The 18,451-nt window shown below is 36.9% G+C and overlaps 1 protein-coding gene across 4 annotated transcripts in view; it reads left to right on the top strand.

The window, feature by feature from the left end:
- The window catches only part of REDIC1 (regulator of DNA class I crossover intermediates 1), a 282,118-nt gene that overhangs the window by 94,501 nt on the left and 169,166 nt on the right, over positions 1–18,451 (top strand). For 3 of the 4 annotated variants that reach the window (NM_001031748.4, XM_005268806.4, XM_011538231.3), the window contains one exon: positions 104–1,231. In NM_001031748.4, coding sequence (NP_001026918.2) covers positions 104–568 — 465 coding nt within the window. In that variant the 3' untranslated portion in view covers positions 569–1,231. Of the gene's footprint in view, positions 1–103; positions 1,232–16,026; positions 16,217–18,451 lie in introns of those variants that run through there. The other variant, NR_135051.2, reaches the window with a different exon arrangement.

Raw genomic sequence — 18,451 nt, forward strand, 5'->3', positions numbered from 1 at the left:
AATTTTCTATAGTTGGGATTTTAAGAATATATTCTTTGAAGTGATTGAATGCATTTTTAAAATGTAAGCATGGTTTAGAGCAAAATTATTAATTTCTTTTTAGCCATCTGAAGATGAAGATCAAATATCACAGCAAATTGAAGATTCAAATAGGATGACCATCAAAACCAAGGAAAAAATGAATAATTTTTATGTAGAAAGGATGGCAAAACTTTCAGGTGACAGGATTGTTAAAAACGATGACAAAATTCACAAACAGAATGAGAATTTCTACCAGTTCTCAGTGAAAAATAATACAGATCAGTTTCCACAGTTGCAGTGCAATTCAGCCCACATTTTGCAAAACAAAACCAATGATAACTGCGTTCTGCAGGCTGCAAGGTGTGATGCAGGGATACAAACAGAGAGTGAATCTGTAATGGAGGAAAAATTAGATGTTGCCATACAGTGTGATCTAATTTCAAAATGTACATGTAGAAGTGATGTTTCTCTTTGCAACCTTGAAAGGTGCAGTGGAAATATTAAGGCAGATACCACTGGAGGGCAGGAAATCCATAAGAACAACTAATATTCTAAAATCTCTACCTAGGATGTAGAATTTCACTTGCCCTTAGAAAACAACAGTAAATGTTGAAAATTTCATTAACATGATAAGAAATGAGAAAAAGTAGCTAAGCATAAGCTGACAGTGTTCAGGGTGTATATTCACGGTTCATGTTAAAACATTTTAATATTATTAATGTATGTATTTAATTTGTATATAGCCATTTCCTTAATAGCTTTGGTATATGGTAGAGTTTTTAGAAAATAATATATTTGTAAATGTACTAGCGTTTTTATGTGATTATTCAGTATATTACAATGATGCGCTGTTATTTATGGGTTAAAATATGCTTAATTGCTTCCTTCCTTGTAGCATTTATTTTAATATTCTTTGCAGTTGCATTTTCTGGCAAAAATGTTCCCTTTCAAGATATTTAAGATAGAAAATAATACCTAATATATTTTATGTCCTCATTATAATAATTTTGTTAGCTACTTCTCTTTAATATTACAGTCCTATTTAAAAATTCTAGCATTAATTTGTAGATAACACATATCTTCTATTTGCATAACATAGTTTTTTTGTTGGTGCTATTAATTCAAAGGAAAATGTTCTGTAGGATTAAAAGATGTTTTAATGTTTTTATAAAATAATTGTTTGAAATTAAAAAATGATTTATGTTACTAATTTTAGTGTTGCTAAGATTCTTTTCATAAATATTATAACAAGATTTCCTATTCTAAAATATAGGCTTTGTTTCTAAGACAACACTTATTTTGTATAAGGATTTTAAATGTTTGTACTCTAAAATTGACACTTGTTTTGATATATTTCATGGTACACAGCAGAGGGCATTCTAGTATCTAACTGAACCCAAAATAAAATTGTTAGAGGTTTCTTTGCCTTTAAAGAAAACAATGTTTTCATGTTACATTTTTATACACAGATGTATCACTCAAGAGTCTGTGTTGCAGAGGTGATTTGGGGCATTGCAATTTGGAGACACCAACAGCTAAAGTTTAAATAGTAGCAATCTTCAGGTTTTTAGCTAGTTTTAGGAAGTGATTTTTGCTATCTTACAGAGCACAATAAGCTCCTAAGTATTTTCTTCCAGTTTAATGATCAACTCATGGAAGGGGAATATAATTATCTGATATATGTATGTTGATAGTTTTTCAAAAGGCCAGATTTTATCCAGATACTAAATGAAAGGTATTCCACTGTGGATTGGTTATCCTGAGCATTATTTTGCAAAAATATTGCATACTATAGCAGTGAACACTGATACATAGAAAAAGAAGACTATAATGATGACAGTAGAATAAACTTGAGCTGTGAATTTTGGGTTGGTTTCAAATATCAAGTAAACTGATATTTTTCCAAATATGCATCAAAGTCTAGCAATATTGAAAGTACATTAATTATGAAAGTACACACCTAGTTCTGTTTTTATCAATATCATAATGTAGCAGTTAAGCTCTGTAAGATGAGGAATTTCAGGGCTTTAAAAAAATGCAGTGACCACTTACAGTGACAGCAGAGTAAAGTGTAGTGCAGTAAAGAATTTAATCTTGCCCCAAAAGCGGTATTGCCTTTACTCTTGGCTTCTGGGAGGTAACCTCCAAGCCCTTGGAATGTCATGGCTAGTGAGTGTCTTTATTTGCCTAGGAAGCTTGGCCCAATTTAGATAGTAACAATATGATTTAGGATGGAGACGTTGAGTAAAGCAATAACAGCTTGCCTTCCTAAGGGATCAGAAACTGAGATTGGGTAGTCAGCCACACCGCTGTGATTGAGACCCAGTAAAGACTTTGAATACCAAGGCTCAGGTGAGCTTCCCTGGTTGGCAATACTTCATGTGAATTGTCAGTCATTGCCAGAAAAGTAATGCTGTCCATCACTCCATGAGAGAGGATGACTGAAAGCTCCCTGTTTATTACTTTCCTAGACTCTGTCCGATGTGTTTCTTCTCTTGGTTGATTTTAACTGGTATCCTTTTACTATAATAAACTATAACTGTGAATATAATATCTTTCAGTGTGTTCCGTGAGTCCTTCTAACGAATTACCAAATCTGAGGGTGGTCTTGGAACTCACAGACTTGCTGTTGGTGTCAGAAGTAAAGGCAGTTTTATGGTCTATTCCCTAACTTCACAGTTGCTAATTCCTTAGACGCTTTAAGGAGATAAATATATTCAGAGTGGAAAGTGAGTATGGATTTGCAAAATAAGCCATCTTATGTAATTATAACATACTTCTCAAAATGCATTACTGGTTTGGGCTTTCTCGGTGAAACTGATGAAAATATAAATAAAAAGCAATTGAAATAAACATTGTTTTCATTCCATGTTTGTAATTTAATGTTTATAAAGCAGAGTAAATCCTAGCTAGGTTCTACCCAGATGAAACAAAATGAAAATTTAATGATTCTGCACACATTTCTAATGTAAACTGCCAATCAGAGTGACTTCAGATAAGATACTATACATTCAGTAAGGGCCAATGCTATACAGTATTGGGCTGGAGTTGGTGTTTAACCCTATTTGTGAAACAGTACATTTTTTTGGTTCACAACAACTCTAGGAAGTTTCCATCTGTAATAAGATGAGAGGCTATCTTTACGGGTAGTTTCATGTAATTTACTTTTAAAGCACTTATAACAATTGCAATTTGTTTATAATTTCTTGGTTAATTGTTTATTTTCCTCCGTGACAATATAGCAATGTAGCAAATGCTATCTGTGCCCAGCTCACATTTCTTGGGCATCCCTCATTTTCATACATACCAGCCTGACTTGCAGCTGCCAGTGCATGACTCATTTCCCGAGGGGTGTCTTTTGGCTGCAGATACCTCTTCTGCCTAGGAGGAGGCAGAGGAAGTACCAGAGTGTTAATGCTGTTTGAGCGCAGTCGTTTTAAACAATATCTGATGGGAATTGGTGGTTAAATACTCCTCCCTTGCCTCTTGGGCGGGATAAGTCTTTGAAAGTGTGTTCTACAACTCTGCTTACTCAAAGTATCCACTGACCAGTAACAGTAGCATCGATATTGGTTGGGAACTGGTTAGTAATTAAAATTTGTGGAACCCACCCCCAAATTACTGAATCAAAATCTCAGGCAGTAGGTCCTGGGAATCTGTAGAGTGATGTCTGTGCCCTCTCATGTTGGAAAACACTATTCCTGCTGAGTTCCTCAGAAGGATTAACCTTAAGTTGCTCACAATGGTAACTTGCTTAATAACCAACACTTCCCTTCTTCTCCCATCTGTCTCACTCCCCACCTCTATGCGTTTCTTGAAATCATACCCCAAACAAACTATATGTACTTGAATCCTTGTCTCATTGTTTGTTTCTGGGGCAAGTCAAATTAAGACAGGCAGAGATTATGACAAGTAGATGGATGAATTGGCTTTATAGGTATAACTAAAAGGTTAACATTGCTAATTTTTGTAGTTTTACCATTCTCTAGTCTCAGATTTCCATTTCTGCCATCTGCTGAAAATTTAATATGTGGGCAAAGTGGCATGTTAGATACAGGTGAAGAGAGAATTTGTGAAGTGAAATATATATAAGCATAAATTATCCAGAATGCCAGAAGAGAAAAAGAAATAGAAAATATGAAAGAGCATTAATTAAACAATAAGAAGGACAGTGTGAGAAGCTTTATATGTTTAATTGAAGTATCAACAGTATAGGAGAGAGAGAGAGAATAGAGGCATAATTTGAAGAGATAATAGCTGAGAATTTTTCTAGAATGGATCTATTATATAATCCACAGATTCATGAAGACCAGCAATTTCCAAGTGGGATTAAAAAAAATGAAATCTATATTCTAGTCCCAACATAATAAAATGACAGAGCCTCAAAGTCAAATGAAAAACATGAAAGCCACTGAAGAGAAAAAGACTACATTCTTAGAAAAGACAGCTACAGTGTCATATGACTTACTAACAGCAATGATGGAAGCTAAAAGACAGTGTAATAATACCTTCCAAATGCTGACAAAATAATTGTCATTCCAAAATTGTGTTTCCAGCCCTACAGCTGTAACAGTGTTTGAAATCACAAACTAGCCACTACTAGCATGAAGGATCTGCTCTGTAGGATTTGGTGACATATTTAGGGTCTTTATATTGTATATAGATAAGTGCTTTCTCTTTGACTGTAGGAAAGGTTTTTCTTGATTGTATCCCTGTTTGCTTTTCAACCCATATGCTCAACTATTTTCCTATTTCTCATATGTCTTTAGGCCTTCTTATAGACTTCATAGCACTTGAAATGGCTTTAGCAACAGGAATTTGTTTTATTTCGCAGTACTGTCTCTGTTGGTCTACAATATGTATTCCTTTATGCCTGTTGCTCAAGAGGTACCACGTGTTCTCTCATTTCCTTCAAAAGGCTATTTCAAGCTCCTCTTTAATACTTAATGCTTTCTGTGTCATGCACATTTTAAAATCAGGACACATAGATATTTTAGGATGTTGACTGATTGTATTTATTCATGTATATTTTATATATGTATAATATATATAATAACCTATGTATAATTATATAATTGATATCTATAAATGTCCACAATGTGAAAGAACAGCAAAACACAACCGTATGAGATAATACACACAGCGAATTGAGGTAGCTGGTAGGTGTCTGAGGGGTGTGTGTGTGTTCATTTTGTGTATTATGTGGTTCAGTTCTGATGGGTACAGGTTTGTGTGTTCACCTGGTGTTTCTTGTGGACACAACTGCACATCAGCCAGTGTGATACTTGCATTATGCTCAAATTGTTTCCTAATATGTCAGTCACGTGGAACAAATTTGCCTTTTCAAAACAACTTGTACCAGCAAAACTATTTTTCCCAGTCTCTATTTTCTTTTAATTTTCTTCTTTTTTTGCTGCTGCCTCCTCCTCCTCCTCCTCCTCTTCCTCCTCTTCTTCTTCTTCTTCTTTTTAATTATACTTCAAGTTCCGGACACAGGTGCAGAATATGCAGGTTTGTTACATAGGTATACATGTGCCATGGTGGTTTGCTGCACCCATCAACCAGTCATCTACATTAGGTATTTCTCCTAATGCTATTCCCTCCCCTAGCCCCCCACACCCCAACAGGCTCCAGTGTGTGATGTTCCCCTCCCTGTGTGCATGTGTTCTCACAACTCAACTCCCACTTACGAGTGAGAACATGCAGTGTTTGGTTTTCTGTTCCTGTGTTAGTTTGCTGAGAATGATGGTTTGAAGCTTCATCCATGTCCCTGCAAAGGACATGGACTCATCCTCTTTTTATGGCTGCATAGTATTCCATGGTGTATATGTGCCACATTTTCTTTATCCAGTCTATCATTGATGGGCATTTGGGTTGGTTCCAAGTCTTTGCTATTGTGAATACTGCTGCAATAAACACACATGTGCATGTGTCTTTATAGTAGAATGATTTATAATCCTTTGGGTATATACCCAGTAGTGGGATTGCTGGGTCAAATGATATTTCTGGTTGTAGATCCTTGAGGAATCGCCACACTGTCTTCCACAATGGTTGAACTAATTTACACTCCCACCAACAGTGTAAAAGCATTCCTATTTCTCCATATCCTCTCCAGCATCTGTTCTTTCCTGACGTTTTAATAATTGCCATTCTAACTGGCGCGAGATGGTATCTCATTCTGGTTTTGATTTGCATTTCTCTAATGACCAGCGATGATGAGCTTTTTTTCCTGTGTTTGTTGGCTGCATAAATGTCTTCTTTTGAGAAGTGTCTGTTCATATCCTTTGCCCACTTTTTGATGGGGTTGTTTGTTTTTCTTCTTGTAAATTTGTGTAAGTTCCTTGCAGATTCTGGATATTAGCCCTTTGTCAGATGGATAGATTGCAAAAATTTTCTCCCATTCTGTAGGTTGCCTGTTCACTCTTGCTGTGCAGAAGCTCTTTAGTTTAATTAGATCCCATTTGTCAATTTTGGCTTTTGTTGTCACTGCTTTTGGTGTTTTAGTCATGAGGTCTTTGCCCATGCCTATGTCCTGAATGGTATTGCCTAGGTTTTCTTCTAGGGTTTTTATGGTTTTAAGTCTTATGTTTAAGTCCTTAATCCATCTTGAGTTAAATTTTATATAAGGTGTAAGGAAGGGGTCCAGTTTCAGTTTTCTGCATATGGCTAGCCAGTTTTCACAACAGCATTTATTCAATAGGGAGTCCTTTCCCCATTGCTTGTTTTTGTCAGGTTTGTCAAAGATCAAATGGTTGTAGATGTGTGGCATTATTTCTGAGGCCTCCATTCTGTTCCATTGGTCTATATATCTGTTTTGCTACCAGTACCATGTTGTTTTGGTTACTGTAGCCTTGTAGTATAGTTTTGTCCTTTTTGCTTAGGGTTGTCTTGGCTATACGGGCTCTTTTTTGGTTCCATATGAAATTTAGCTTTTTCTAATTCTGTGAAGAAAGTCTAATTCTGTGAAGAAAGTCTAATTCTGTGAAGAAAGTCTAATTGTGTTATGGGGATATCATTGAATCTATAAATTACTTTGGGCAGTATGGCCATTTTCACAATATTGATTCTTCCTATCCACGAGCATGGAATGTTCTTCCATTTGTTTGTGTCCTCTCTTATTTCCTAGAGCAGTGGTTTGTAGTTCTCCTTGAAGAGATCCTTCACATCCCATGTAATTTGTATTCCTAGGTATTTTATTATCTTTGTAGCAATTGTGAATGAGAGTTCACTCATGATTTGACTCTCTGTTTGTCTATTATTGGTGTACAGGAATGCTTGTAATTTTTGCACATTGATTTTGTATCCTGAGACTTTCCTGAAGTTGCTTATCAGCTTAAGGAGATTTTGGGCTGAGACAATGGGGTTTTCTAAATATACAATCATGTCATCAGCAAACAGAGACAATTTGACTTTCTCTCTTCCTATTTATTTCTTTCTCTTGCCTGATTACCCTAGCCAGAACTTCCAATTCTATGTTGAATAGGAGTGGTGAGAGAGGGCATCGTTGTCTTGTGCTGGTTTTTAAAGGGAATGCTTCCAGCTTTTGCCCATTCAGTATGATATTGGCTGTGGGTTTGTCATAAATAGCTCTTATTATTTTGAGATTCATTCCATCAATATCTAGTTTATTGAGAGTTTTTAGCATGAAGGGGTGTTGAATTTTATTGAAGGCCTTTTTTTGCATATATTGAGATAATCATGTGGTTTTTGACATTGATCATGTTTATGTGTGATGGATTATGTTTAATGATTTGCCTATGTTAAACCAGCCTTGCATCTCAGGGATGAAGCCAACTTGATCATGATGGATAAGCTTTTTGATGTGCTGCTGGATTTGGTTTGCCGGTATTTAATGGATAATTTTTGCATTGATGTTCATCAGGCATATTGGCCTGAAATTTTGTTTTTTTATTGTGTCTCTGCCAGGTTTTGGTATCAGGATGATGCTGGCCTCATAAAATGAGTTAGTGAAGAGTCCCTCTTTTTCTATTGTTTGGAGTAGTTTCAGAAGGAATGGTACCAGCTCCTCTGTGTACCTCTGGTAGAATTCGGCTCTGAATCCATCTGGTCCTGGGCTTTTTTTTTTTTTTTTTTTTGGTTGGTAGGCTATTAATTACTGCCTCAATTTCAGAACTTGTTATTGGTGTATTCAAGGATTCAACTTCTTCCTGATTTGGTCTTGGGAGGGTGTATGTGTCCAGGAATTCATCCATTTCTTCTAGATTTTCTAGTTATATCTGCATAGAGGTGTTTATAGTATTCTCTGGTGGTAGTTTGTATTTCTGTGGGATCAGTGGTGATCTCCCCTTTATCATTTTTTGTTGTGTCTATTTGATTCTTCTCTCTTCTTCTTTGTTAGTCTGGCTAGTGGTCTATCTATTTTGTTAATCTTTTCAAAAAACCAGCTCCCAGATTCCTTGAGTTTTTGAAGGGTTTTTCATGTCTCTATCTCCTTTAGTTCTGCTCTGATCTTAGTTATTTCTTGTCTTCTGCTAGCTTTTGAATTTGTTAGCTCTTGCTTCTCTAGTTCTTTTAATTGGGATGTTAAGGTGTCAATTTTAGATCTTTCCCGTCTTCTCCTGTGGGCATTTAGTACTATAAATTTCCCTGTAACCACTGCTTTAGCTGTGTCCCAGAGATTCTGATATATTGTGTCTTTGTTCTCATTGGTTTCAATGTACTTATTTATTTCTATCTTCATTTTGTTATTTACCCAGTAGGCATTCAGGAGCAGGTTGTTCAGTTTCCATGTAGTTGTGTGGTTTTAAGTGAGTTTCTTAACCTTGAATTCTAATTTGATTGCACTGTGGTCTGAGTGACTGTTTGTTATGATTTCCATTCTTTTGCATTTGCTGAGGAGTGTTTTACTTCCAATTATATGGTCAATTTTAGAATAAGTGTGATGTGGTGCTGAGAAGAATGTATATTCTGTTGATTTGGGGTGGAGAGTTCTGTAGATGTCTATTAGGTCCACTTGTTCCAGAGCTGAGTTCAAGTCTTTAATATCCTTGTTAATTTTCTGTCTTGTTGATCTGTCTAATATTGACAGTGGGGTGCTAAAGTCTCCCACTATTATTATGTGGGAGTATAAGTCTCTTTGTAGATCTCTAAGAACTTGCTTTATGAATCTGGGTGCTCTTGTATTGGGTGCATATATATTTAGGATAGTTAGCTCTTCTTGTTGCATTGATCCCTTTACCATTATGTAATGTCCTTCTTTCTCTTTTTTGATCTTTGTTTGTTTAAAGTCTGTTTTATCAGAGACTAGGATTGCAGCCCCTGCTTTTTTTGCTTTCTATTTGCTTGGTAAATATTCCTCCATCCTTTTATTTTGAGCCTATGTGTGTCTTTGCAGGTGGGATCAGTCTCCTGAATACAGCACACCTATGGGTCTTGAATTTTTATCCAATTTGCCAGTCTGTGTCTTTTAATTGGGGCATTTAGCCCATTTACATTTAAGGTTAATATTGTTATGTGTGAATTTGATCCTGTCATTATGATGTCAGCTGGTTATTTTGCCCGTTAGTTGGCGCAGTTTCTTCAGCATAAATGGTCTTTACAATTTAGTACATTTTTGCAGTGGCTGCTACCGGTTTCTCCTTTCCATATTTAGTGCTTTCTTCAGGACCTCTTGTAAGGCAGGCCTGGTGGTGACAAAAATTTTTCAGCATTTGCTTGTCTCTAAAGGATTTTATTTCTCCTTCTCTTGTGAAGCTTAGTTTGGCTGGATATGAAATTCTGGGTTGAAAATTCTTTTCTTTAAAATGTTGAATATTGGCCCCCAACTTTCTTCTGGCTTGTAGGGTTTCTGCAGAGAGATCTGCTGTTAGTCTGATGGGCTTCCCTTTGTGAGTAACCTGACCTTTCTCTCTGGCTACCCTTAACATTTTTTCCTTTATTTCAACTTTGGTGAATCTGACGACTACGTGTCTTGGGGTTGCTCTTCTTGAGGAGTATCTTTGTGGTATTCTCTGTATTTCCTGGTGTTGGCCTGTCTTGCTAGGTTGGGGGAGTTCTCCTGGATAATATCCTGAAAAGTGTTTTCCAACTTGGTTCCATTCTCCCCGTCACCTTCAGGTACACTAATCAAATGTAGGTTTGGTCTTTTCACATAGTCCCATATTTCTTGGAGGCTTTGTTCATTTCTCTTCATTCTTTTTTCTCTAATCTTGTCTTCATGCTTTATTTCATTAAGTTGATCTTGAATCTCTGATAGACTTTTTTTCTGCTTGATTGATTTGGCTATTGATACTTGTGTATGCTTCACGAAGTTCTTGTGCTGTGTTTTTCAGCTCCATCAGGTCATTTATGTTTTTCTGTAAACTGGTTATTCTAGTTAGCAATTCCTCTAACCTTTTTTCAAGGTTCTTAGCTTCCTTGCATTGGGTTAGAACACGCGTCTTTAGCTCGGAGGAGTTTGTTATTACCCACCTTCTGAAGCCTACTTCTGTCAATTCATCAAACTCATTCTCTGTCCAGTTTTGTTCCCTTGCTGGGGAGGAGTTGTGATTCTTTGGGGGAGAAGAGGTGTTCTGGTTTTGGAATTTTCAGCCTTTTTGTGCTGGTTTTTCCTCATCTTTGTGGATTTATCTACCTTTGGTCTTTGATGTTGGTGACCTTCGGATGGGGTTTCTGTGTGGACATCCTTTTTGTTGATGTTAATGCTATTCCTTTCTGTTTGTTAGTTCCTTCTAACAGGCCCCTCTGCTGCAGGTCTGCTGGAGTTTGCTGGAGGTCCACTCCAGGCCCTGTTTGCCTAAGTATTACCAGTGGAGGCTCCAGAACAGCAAAGATTTCTGCCTGTTCCTTCCTCTGGAAGCTTTGTCCCAGAGGGGCACCCGCCAGATGCCAGCTGGAGCTCTCCTGTATGTGGTGTCTGTCAACCCCTGCTGGGAGGTGTCTCCCAGTCAGGAGGCATAGGGGTCAGGGACCCACTTGAGGAGGCAGTCTGTCCCTTAGCAGAGCTCAAACGCTGTGCTGGGGGATTTGTTGCTGTCTTCAGAGCCATCAGGCAGGAACATTTAACTCCGCTGAAGTTGTGCCTATAGCCGCCCCTTCCCCCAGGTGCTGTGTCTCAGGGAGATGGGAGTTTTATCTGTATGCCCCTGACTGTTTCTGCTGCCTTTCTTTTTTTTTTTTTGTTCAATTTCAGTTGTTTTATTATAAAACACAAATGTAGAAAATGTAACACAAAAGAAATGATAGCTTAGAGGATTGTCATAAGGCAAACATCATTCTAACCTCCACCCAAGTGAAAAAACAGAATTCTGCCAGCTACCTGAGAAGCCCTTTCATGGGTCCTGTTCCAATGATGTCCTCCTCCATCCCTCCAAAAGTAACCATGATCTTGACTTTTATGGTAACCACTTCCTTGCATATCTTTACAGTTTTACCACTCCAATTGTGCATCCCTAGACACTCAAGTTTAATTTTGCTCCTTAAAGAAATCTGATATGTCTTTTAGATCTCTTTTAAACTGCAGATTCCCCTCCATCTCTTTCTTCTTCTGACAGTTTTTTTGAAAAACCTGTTCCATTTGACATATGGAGATTTTCATAGTCATGGTTTTGCAGATTGCATTCTTGTGGTGAAATTCAATGTTTCTCCATCCTGTATATTTCCTACAAATTGGCAGCTGTATCCAGAGGTTTGATCAAACCTATATTTGATCCCTTTAACTGGATTGTTAGTGGTGTGTGTTTTTTCATTAGGAGGCTCGTAATGTCTGTTTTTCACTTTTTTCTCTTATATTAGCAGCCATTGGTGTTCAATGTCTAGATCCAGTAATTCGCTGGAGGGTTGTAAGATGGTGATATACTTTTATGTCATTTTCACTTATTTACTGGAATAATTTTGTACAAAAATACCCCCTCCTCCATCTACTATTAAGATACCTAGCAGTATAGTTTATATAAGAAAGGCAAGACAAATTCTTTAGTCTTTTATGTACTCAGTTTTCAAAATAACCAGTAGGCTCTCTGTCATCCTCTGAAGATGAGTATTATTTTTTCTTAATATAATTAATTATGAACCATATTTGATTGGTTTCAGTCCATTGTAATGTTTATCCTTATTGAAACTCAAAATGCCCATATTTGGCCAAAGATGGTTCCTCAGTCCTTTGACATGAACCTCATAGGCTTTGATAGCTTCCTTGCTGTCTGGCATGACAAGGTGTCTGGCATGACAAGGCCTTGTAAGGCTTATTGTGTGTATTTTCTGCCCCAGAACAAAAACAGACCATTTCTCCAAGAAGTCTTCATTTTTTTAAATTGGAGGTGATACTTCAAGTCCACAATTTTGGGGGCTAGATTGGCCATTGGGTCATTATTTATGTCTTTACAGTAGGCAGAGGCAGAAAAATGCACACACACACACACACACACACACACTTATTTAAAGATAAAACAGTTTGTGATTTCATTTGATGTTCTAAATTCAAAACAAATTAAAGAAAAATTTAAACACATTTTTATTTTAGGATAATTTTAGATTTATAAAAAAGTTGCCAATGTACTCTGCATGCTTATGGAATAAAATGTTGAAATGTTTGATAATAATCAGGTTTTCTTTTCCTTATAAGTCATTTGCTCTTTTGCCTAGATGCCAAAGCATTGTTTTCCTTTTGTAAAAATTAGAGTCCAGTCATTTTACTACGATATTCTGTTCCTTTGCTTTAGTTTTTATCTTTAGGCACTTCTATTATCAATTTGTTGGATCTTCTTTGATATCTTCAACGTTTGTTTTTTTCCTGTCAAATTCTTTGTCTTTTTTAATTTTTTTATTTTATTTTATTTTATTTTGTTTGTTTGTTTTGTTATTATTATCATACTTTAAGTTTTAGGGTACATGTGCACAATGTGCAGGCTGCTGCCTTTCTTTCAGAGATGCCCTGCCCAGAGAGGAGGAATTTAGAGAGGCAGTCTGGCTACAGAAGCTTTGCTGAGCTGCAGTGGGCTCTGCCCAGTTCAAACTTTCCTGTGGCTTTGTTTACACTGTGAGGGGAAAATTACCTACTCAGTCCTAGTAATGGAGGACGCCTCTGCCACCACCAAGCTGGAGCATCCCAGGTTGACTTCAGACTGCTGTGCTGACAGCAAGAATTTCAAGCCAGCGGATCTTATCTTGAAGGGCTCTGTGGGGGTGGGATCTGCTGAACTAGGCTACTTAGCTCCCTGGCTTCAGCCCCCTTTCCAGGGGAATGAACAGTTCTGTCTTGCTGGCATTCCAGGCGCTACTGGGGTATGAAAAAAAAACTCCTGCAGCTAGTTTGGTGTCTGCCCAAATAGGGTGCCACCCAGTTTTGTGCTTGAAACCCAGGGCCCTGGTGGTGTAGGCACCTGAGGGAATCTCCTGGTTTGCGGGTTGTGAAGACTGTGGGAGAAGTGTTGTATCTGGGCTGGAATGCACAGTTCCTCACTGCACAGTCCCTCACAGCTTCCCTTGACTAGGGGAGGGAGTTCCCAGACCCTTTGCGCTTCCTGGGTGAGGCGACGCCCCACCCTGCTTCTGCTCGCCCTCCATGGGCTGCATGCACTGTCTAACCAGTCCCAGTAGGATGAGCTGGGTACCTCAGATGGAAATGCAGAAATCACCCACCTTCTGCATTGATCTCACTGGGAGTTGCAGTCCGGAGCTGTTCCTATTCAGCCATCTTGCCCAGGAATCATCTTAATTTTCTTAATGGTGTCTTTTGAAGGGCAAAAGTTTTAAATTTTGATAAAATCAAATTTGTCTTTTAAAAAATATTGATTGTAGTCACAAAAATTTTCTCCTGCTTTTTCTTCCTGAAGTTTTTTATTTTTAGTTCTTATATTTGGGTCTGTGATTCATTTTCAGAAAATTTTTGTAATGTATATAATATAGGGTTATTAGGATTTTTTATGTTTGTTTTTGCACATAGATATCCAGTTGCTCCAGCACTATTTGTTGAAAAGACTACTCTTTCTTAATTAACTTTGCACTTTTATCAAAAATCAATTGACCATACATGTGAGTTTGAACTCTATTCTGTTTCATTGATCTATATATCTCTTCTTATGCCAATATCATACTATCTTGATTGTAGTGTTACTTCCTGTTCTTTTTCAAAATTGCTTTGGCTAGACTTGGTTGCTTGCATTTCCATAGGGATTTTGGCTACAGCTTGTCAATTTCTACTAAAAAATTCCTGGTTAGATTTTGGTAAGGATTGTGTTGACTCGCTATCTCAATTTGGAGAAGAACTGATATCTTAATAATGTTTAGTTTTATAATCAATGAATATGCTGTATCTCTTTATTTATTCAGGTTTTCTCTAATTTATTGCAGCAATCTTTTGCCTAGAGTGCGCTTCTTGAGAAACATGAAAGTTATTTTAAGCCACTAAATTTTGAGAAGTTGTTTAACCCATAGTAGATAGTTGTTACACATTTTGGTACCTGGGAGTGATGTGCTACCATATCAAAACCCTAAAACATGTGGCTTTAGGACTAGGTGGTGGTCTGAAGCTGGAAGAACCTTAACAACATTGTTAGTGAAGGTCTAAGGGCCTTGAAGAGATTCTTAGTGTAACTATATGCCCCTAGAGGTGGCTCATAGTGAGGGCTGAAAGGAAATTAAAGATAATGTTATTGAAAGTTGGGAAGAATGGGGATATTTATTAGGTAGTGACAGAAAGTTAAGCAACACTATCATATGAAGTAACGTAGAAAATAGAAATAGAAAATAGGAATAGAAAATGATGTAGATTTCCAAGGAGAATGTTGATGATGACACCTGGTTTCTAGCTGCCTGTTATAAAATGGCAGATGAGAGTGTTAAGCAACAGAAAGAACTTTAATATATAAAGAAGCCAGAACTTACTGGGATCAAAAATACAACTTTCTCATTGTAGTTTCTTCAGATGGCAAATGATGCTAAAATTAAGAAAAGGCTTTTGGACGAAGGCCAAATTTAGGGCACTGTCAGGAAAATAAGTAATAAAGATTATTTCAAGGGTGTTATTGTACAACCCTTTGCAAAGATTTGAGGTAGTATTTCATACAGGTAACTATCCCTAAGGATCTTGAGGCACATGCATTGCAGATTGTCTCTTCTAAACAATAGGGCTTTTAAGAATGTCAACATGCTTTCCTATAGCAACCTTACAGGAAACTAAAGGTAGAGAAATGCTTATCTTGATGAATTTTGTGGGTGTAACTTTGGAAGATGGGGTGAACCCCAGTATGATTCATAGGAGACCCACAAAGCTTTAAGAGAAGTATACTTGGAGAAACACTGCCAGCTTGGACTAAAGGGGACAGAGACAGACCATCACAAAAAGAGAGCTTTGGATTTCTGAAGTAATACTGGTAGGAAGCAGGCTGAGAAAACTACTTAGCTGCAAACATCAGCATTTTTTAATGGAAAAGGATGACTTGAGGAGGAACTATGAGCTCAGAGCATAGAGCTAAGACCCATGGAGATGCTATGCTGCATTATCAGACAGCTGACCTGAGTCAAGGAGCCAATAGTGTGTGCATGGCTGGATTACAGAATTTTTATGGACTATTGTATCTTTCTTTTGCCTTTATGGACTATTGCCTTTCTTTTCCTCCCTTTTCAATGGGAAAGTCTGTAGTAATTATCCTATGCCTCTTCCACCATTGTATGTCAGTGTGTGAAGGACATATAACTTGTCTCTTTCATTCACCAGGTCTTTGGATTGAGGATAGCTATATTTTATGAGCTGTATTTGATAAATAGCATCTGAGGAGACTCATCCACACCTGGTTGCCTAAGTAAGTGGAGTATATTTTGCTTGTGAAAGGAATATAAAAATTTGTGACCAAAGGTTATGTTTACAATTTCTTTGGCACTCCTTCCACAGAAGGTGGAGTCTAATTGCCCTTCCCTTATTATGGGTGAGCCTTAATGACTTGCTTCTAACAAAACAGAATGAGACAGAAGTGATGTTGCATGGTTTCCAAGGCTATGTCGTAAAAGGTGATAGAATTTCCAGCTGGCATGCTCACTGTCTTTCAGGACACATGCCGTGGGTATCCTGAGCTGCCATTTAAGAAGTCTAGCTACCCTAAAGCCTCCATGCTGGAGAGACCATGTGGAGGGACCACACAAAGATTGACAGTAAGATGCTTGAGAAGTCCCAGCTTTCCCAGCCCCAGCGTTTTGGGTCTTCTCAGCCCAAGCACTAGATGTGCAGCCCCAGCCCATGGTGAGTAGAAACAAGCTGTTCCTGCTAACCCTGCTCAGATTTCATATTTATGATAAAATATGTTGTTTTGTGCAACTACAAGTTTGAGGTGGTTGGCTACACAGCATTAGATAATTGGAACAGAGGACCTTTAACTGTCTTATTCTCCTTACTGCTGTATTTACTATTGAGAGCCAGAACTGTTCTGCACTACTTTTTGTTTTTTAATATATATGGCTCCAAATAATGCTTTTTTCCACAATTGATACTCAATAACTCCAGTTGGTGATATTAAATGGATTGGAGCACAACCCAGAATACATGCACCTGGCTCTTTTAAAGCAGGTCTATTCTGGCAATATGTTTGGATTGGTTTACATTTCCCCTTGAAAGTTTGTTCTTGTTGCTTTGTTTACGTTAGCTATGTTCTATCCTTTGCTCTAGTTCACAAACTAGTGTCTAGCATTTCTTTCACTTCATCTCCACTTCTACTCCTTAACCTAACTTTTACCTCATGGCCTGATGATAACTATAAACTATATTGAACTATATGTAAGTTTTATAAGGTCGAGAGCCACTGTATCTCCCTGGCAACACAGTGCCTAGTACAGAGTAAAACACTCAGTAATCATTTATTGATTTATCATAACTATGTAGGAGACACCAAAGTAACCTTATATGCATAATCTCCTTTAATCTCTACAACACATTATTAGGATTATTATCCCCATTTTGCAGATAAGGAAGTTGAATAAATTAATAAAGTGATTTTCCCAAGTTAGTACAGTCAATAGTGGAGACAGTATTTCAACCAAAAGTCTGTTTGACTTCAAAGCCTATGCTCTAATGACTGATTTTTACCTGGTTTTGCTGTTAACCATAAATTTCTAGTGGTTGAACTAGGTATTATCCATTGACTTTGCCTACACCATGTATTTTATTGGATATTTGGCCATTGCTTCTCCAGAACTTATGCCTTGCTTGTCCCTGATTTGTGTGTAGCTACATTCCATCCTGTGGTTCACATTTGAGTGTCCATAGAAAGAATCTACCAAAATGTGATTAACTATGCACATAAAATTCTGAACTAAGAAGACCTATTTCAGTAACACAGAGAATAACTTGTCTAGATGGAAAAGTTATGAAATCTAACATTCACTGGAGCCATTGAAATGTTTCCATGTTTGAAAAAAATTAAGATTTGTAAGAATGAATGAAAAGACCTATCGGAAGTCTTTTCTAATGTTAGATTTCACACTCATAGAATTTGACATTTTAAATATTGCAGATATACCGGTTAAATGCTTTTGCTCTGTTAAGTTGAAATCACTTGCTCATATGGAGTCTGTTTTCCTGTTGCATGTTGGCATGAGAGTTAACTCTGTTGCCTGCTCTTGGCCATTTGTTCCTCAGCTTTTTGTGTCATTGAACACGTATGTGTGCAATATTTGCCACCCTTCTTTTAAGAATTTTTATTCATATATCATTTACGAATTAGACAAAGTGAATGCATAAAAACTGAGAGAAGTTAACAAGGTAAACCAAGGGAGCTGTATTTGATAAATAGCATCTGAGGAGACTCATCCACACCCGGTTGCCTAAGTAAGTGGAGTATATTTTGTGTATGAAAGGAATATAAAAATTTGTGATCAAAAGTTATGTTTGCAATTTCTTTGACACTCCTTCCACAGAAGGTGGAGTCTAATAGAAGCATTTGAAAAATCAAAGTGCAATGAGTACAAAAATATCTTTTTACTATCATAACCTAATTGTACTGACACCTTATTATGTTTGATAGTCAATTCTCATTTGTCTTTAATAATTGATAATGGGAAACTACTTCATTTTAGATGAGATCAGATTCAATGGTTATTATTTCCTTGGGCTGCTTTTACTTGGAAATAATTTCATCTGACTTTATAGAAAGTGACCTTAGTAATTGTGGGAGCATCCAAAATTTGTTTAATATGTATGAACATAAAATATTTCAGTGTATGTCTTAATCTATGAGTCATTTCTGAATTTTACAACCAGATGTACTGTGTATTTTCAAATGTCATTGCCATATACTAAGTTTGAGAAATGGGAGATGAAAAAATCAAGTGGATATATTTCTGATTCAATATTTTTATAATATGAAATAAAAATATTATTTTATTATAAAATTTTTCCAAGTAATGGGAAACTACTTCATTTTAGATGAGATCAGATTCAATGGTTATTATTTCCTTGGGCTGCTTTTACTTGGAATTAATT

Source organism: Homo sapiens, chromosome 12 (assembly GCF_000001405.40).
Source record: "Homo sapiens chromosome 12, GRCh38.p14 Primary Assembly".
NCBI lineage: Eukaryota > Metazoa > Chordata > Mammalia > Primates > Hominidae > Homo > Homo sapiens.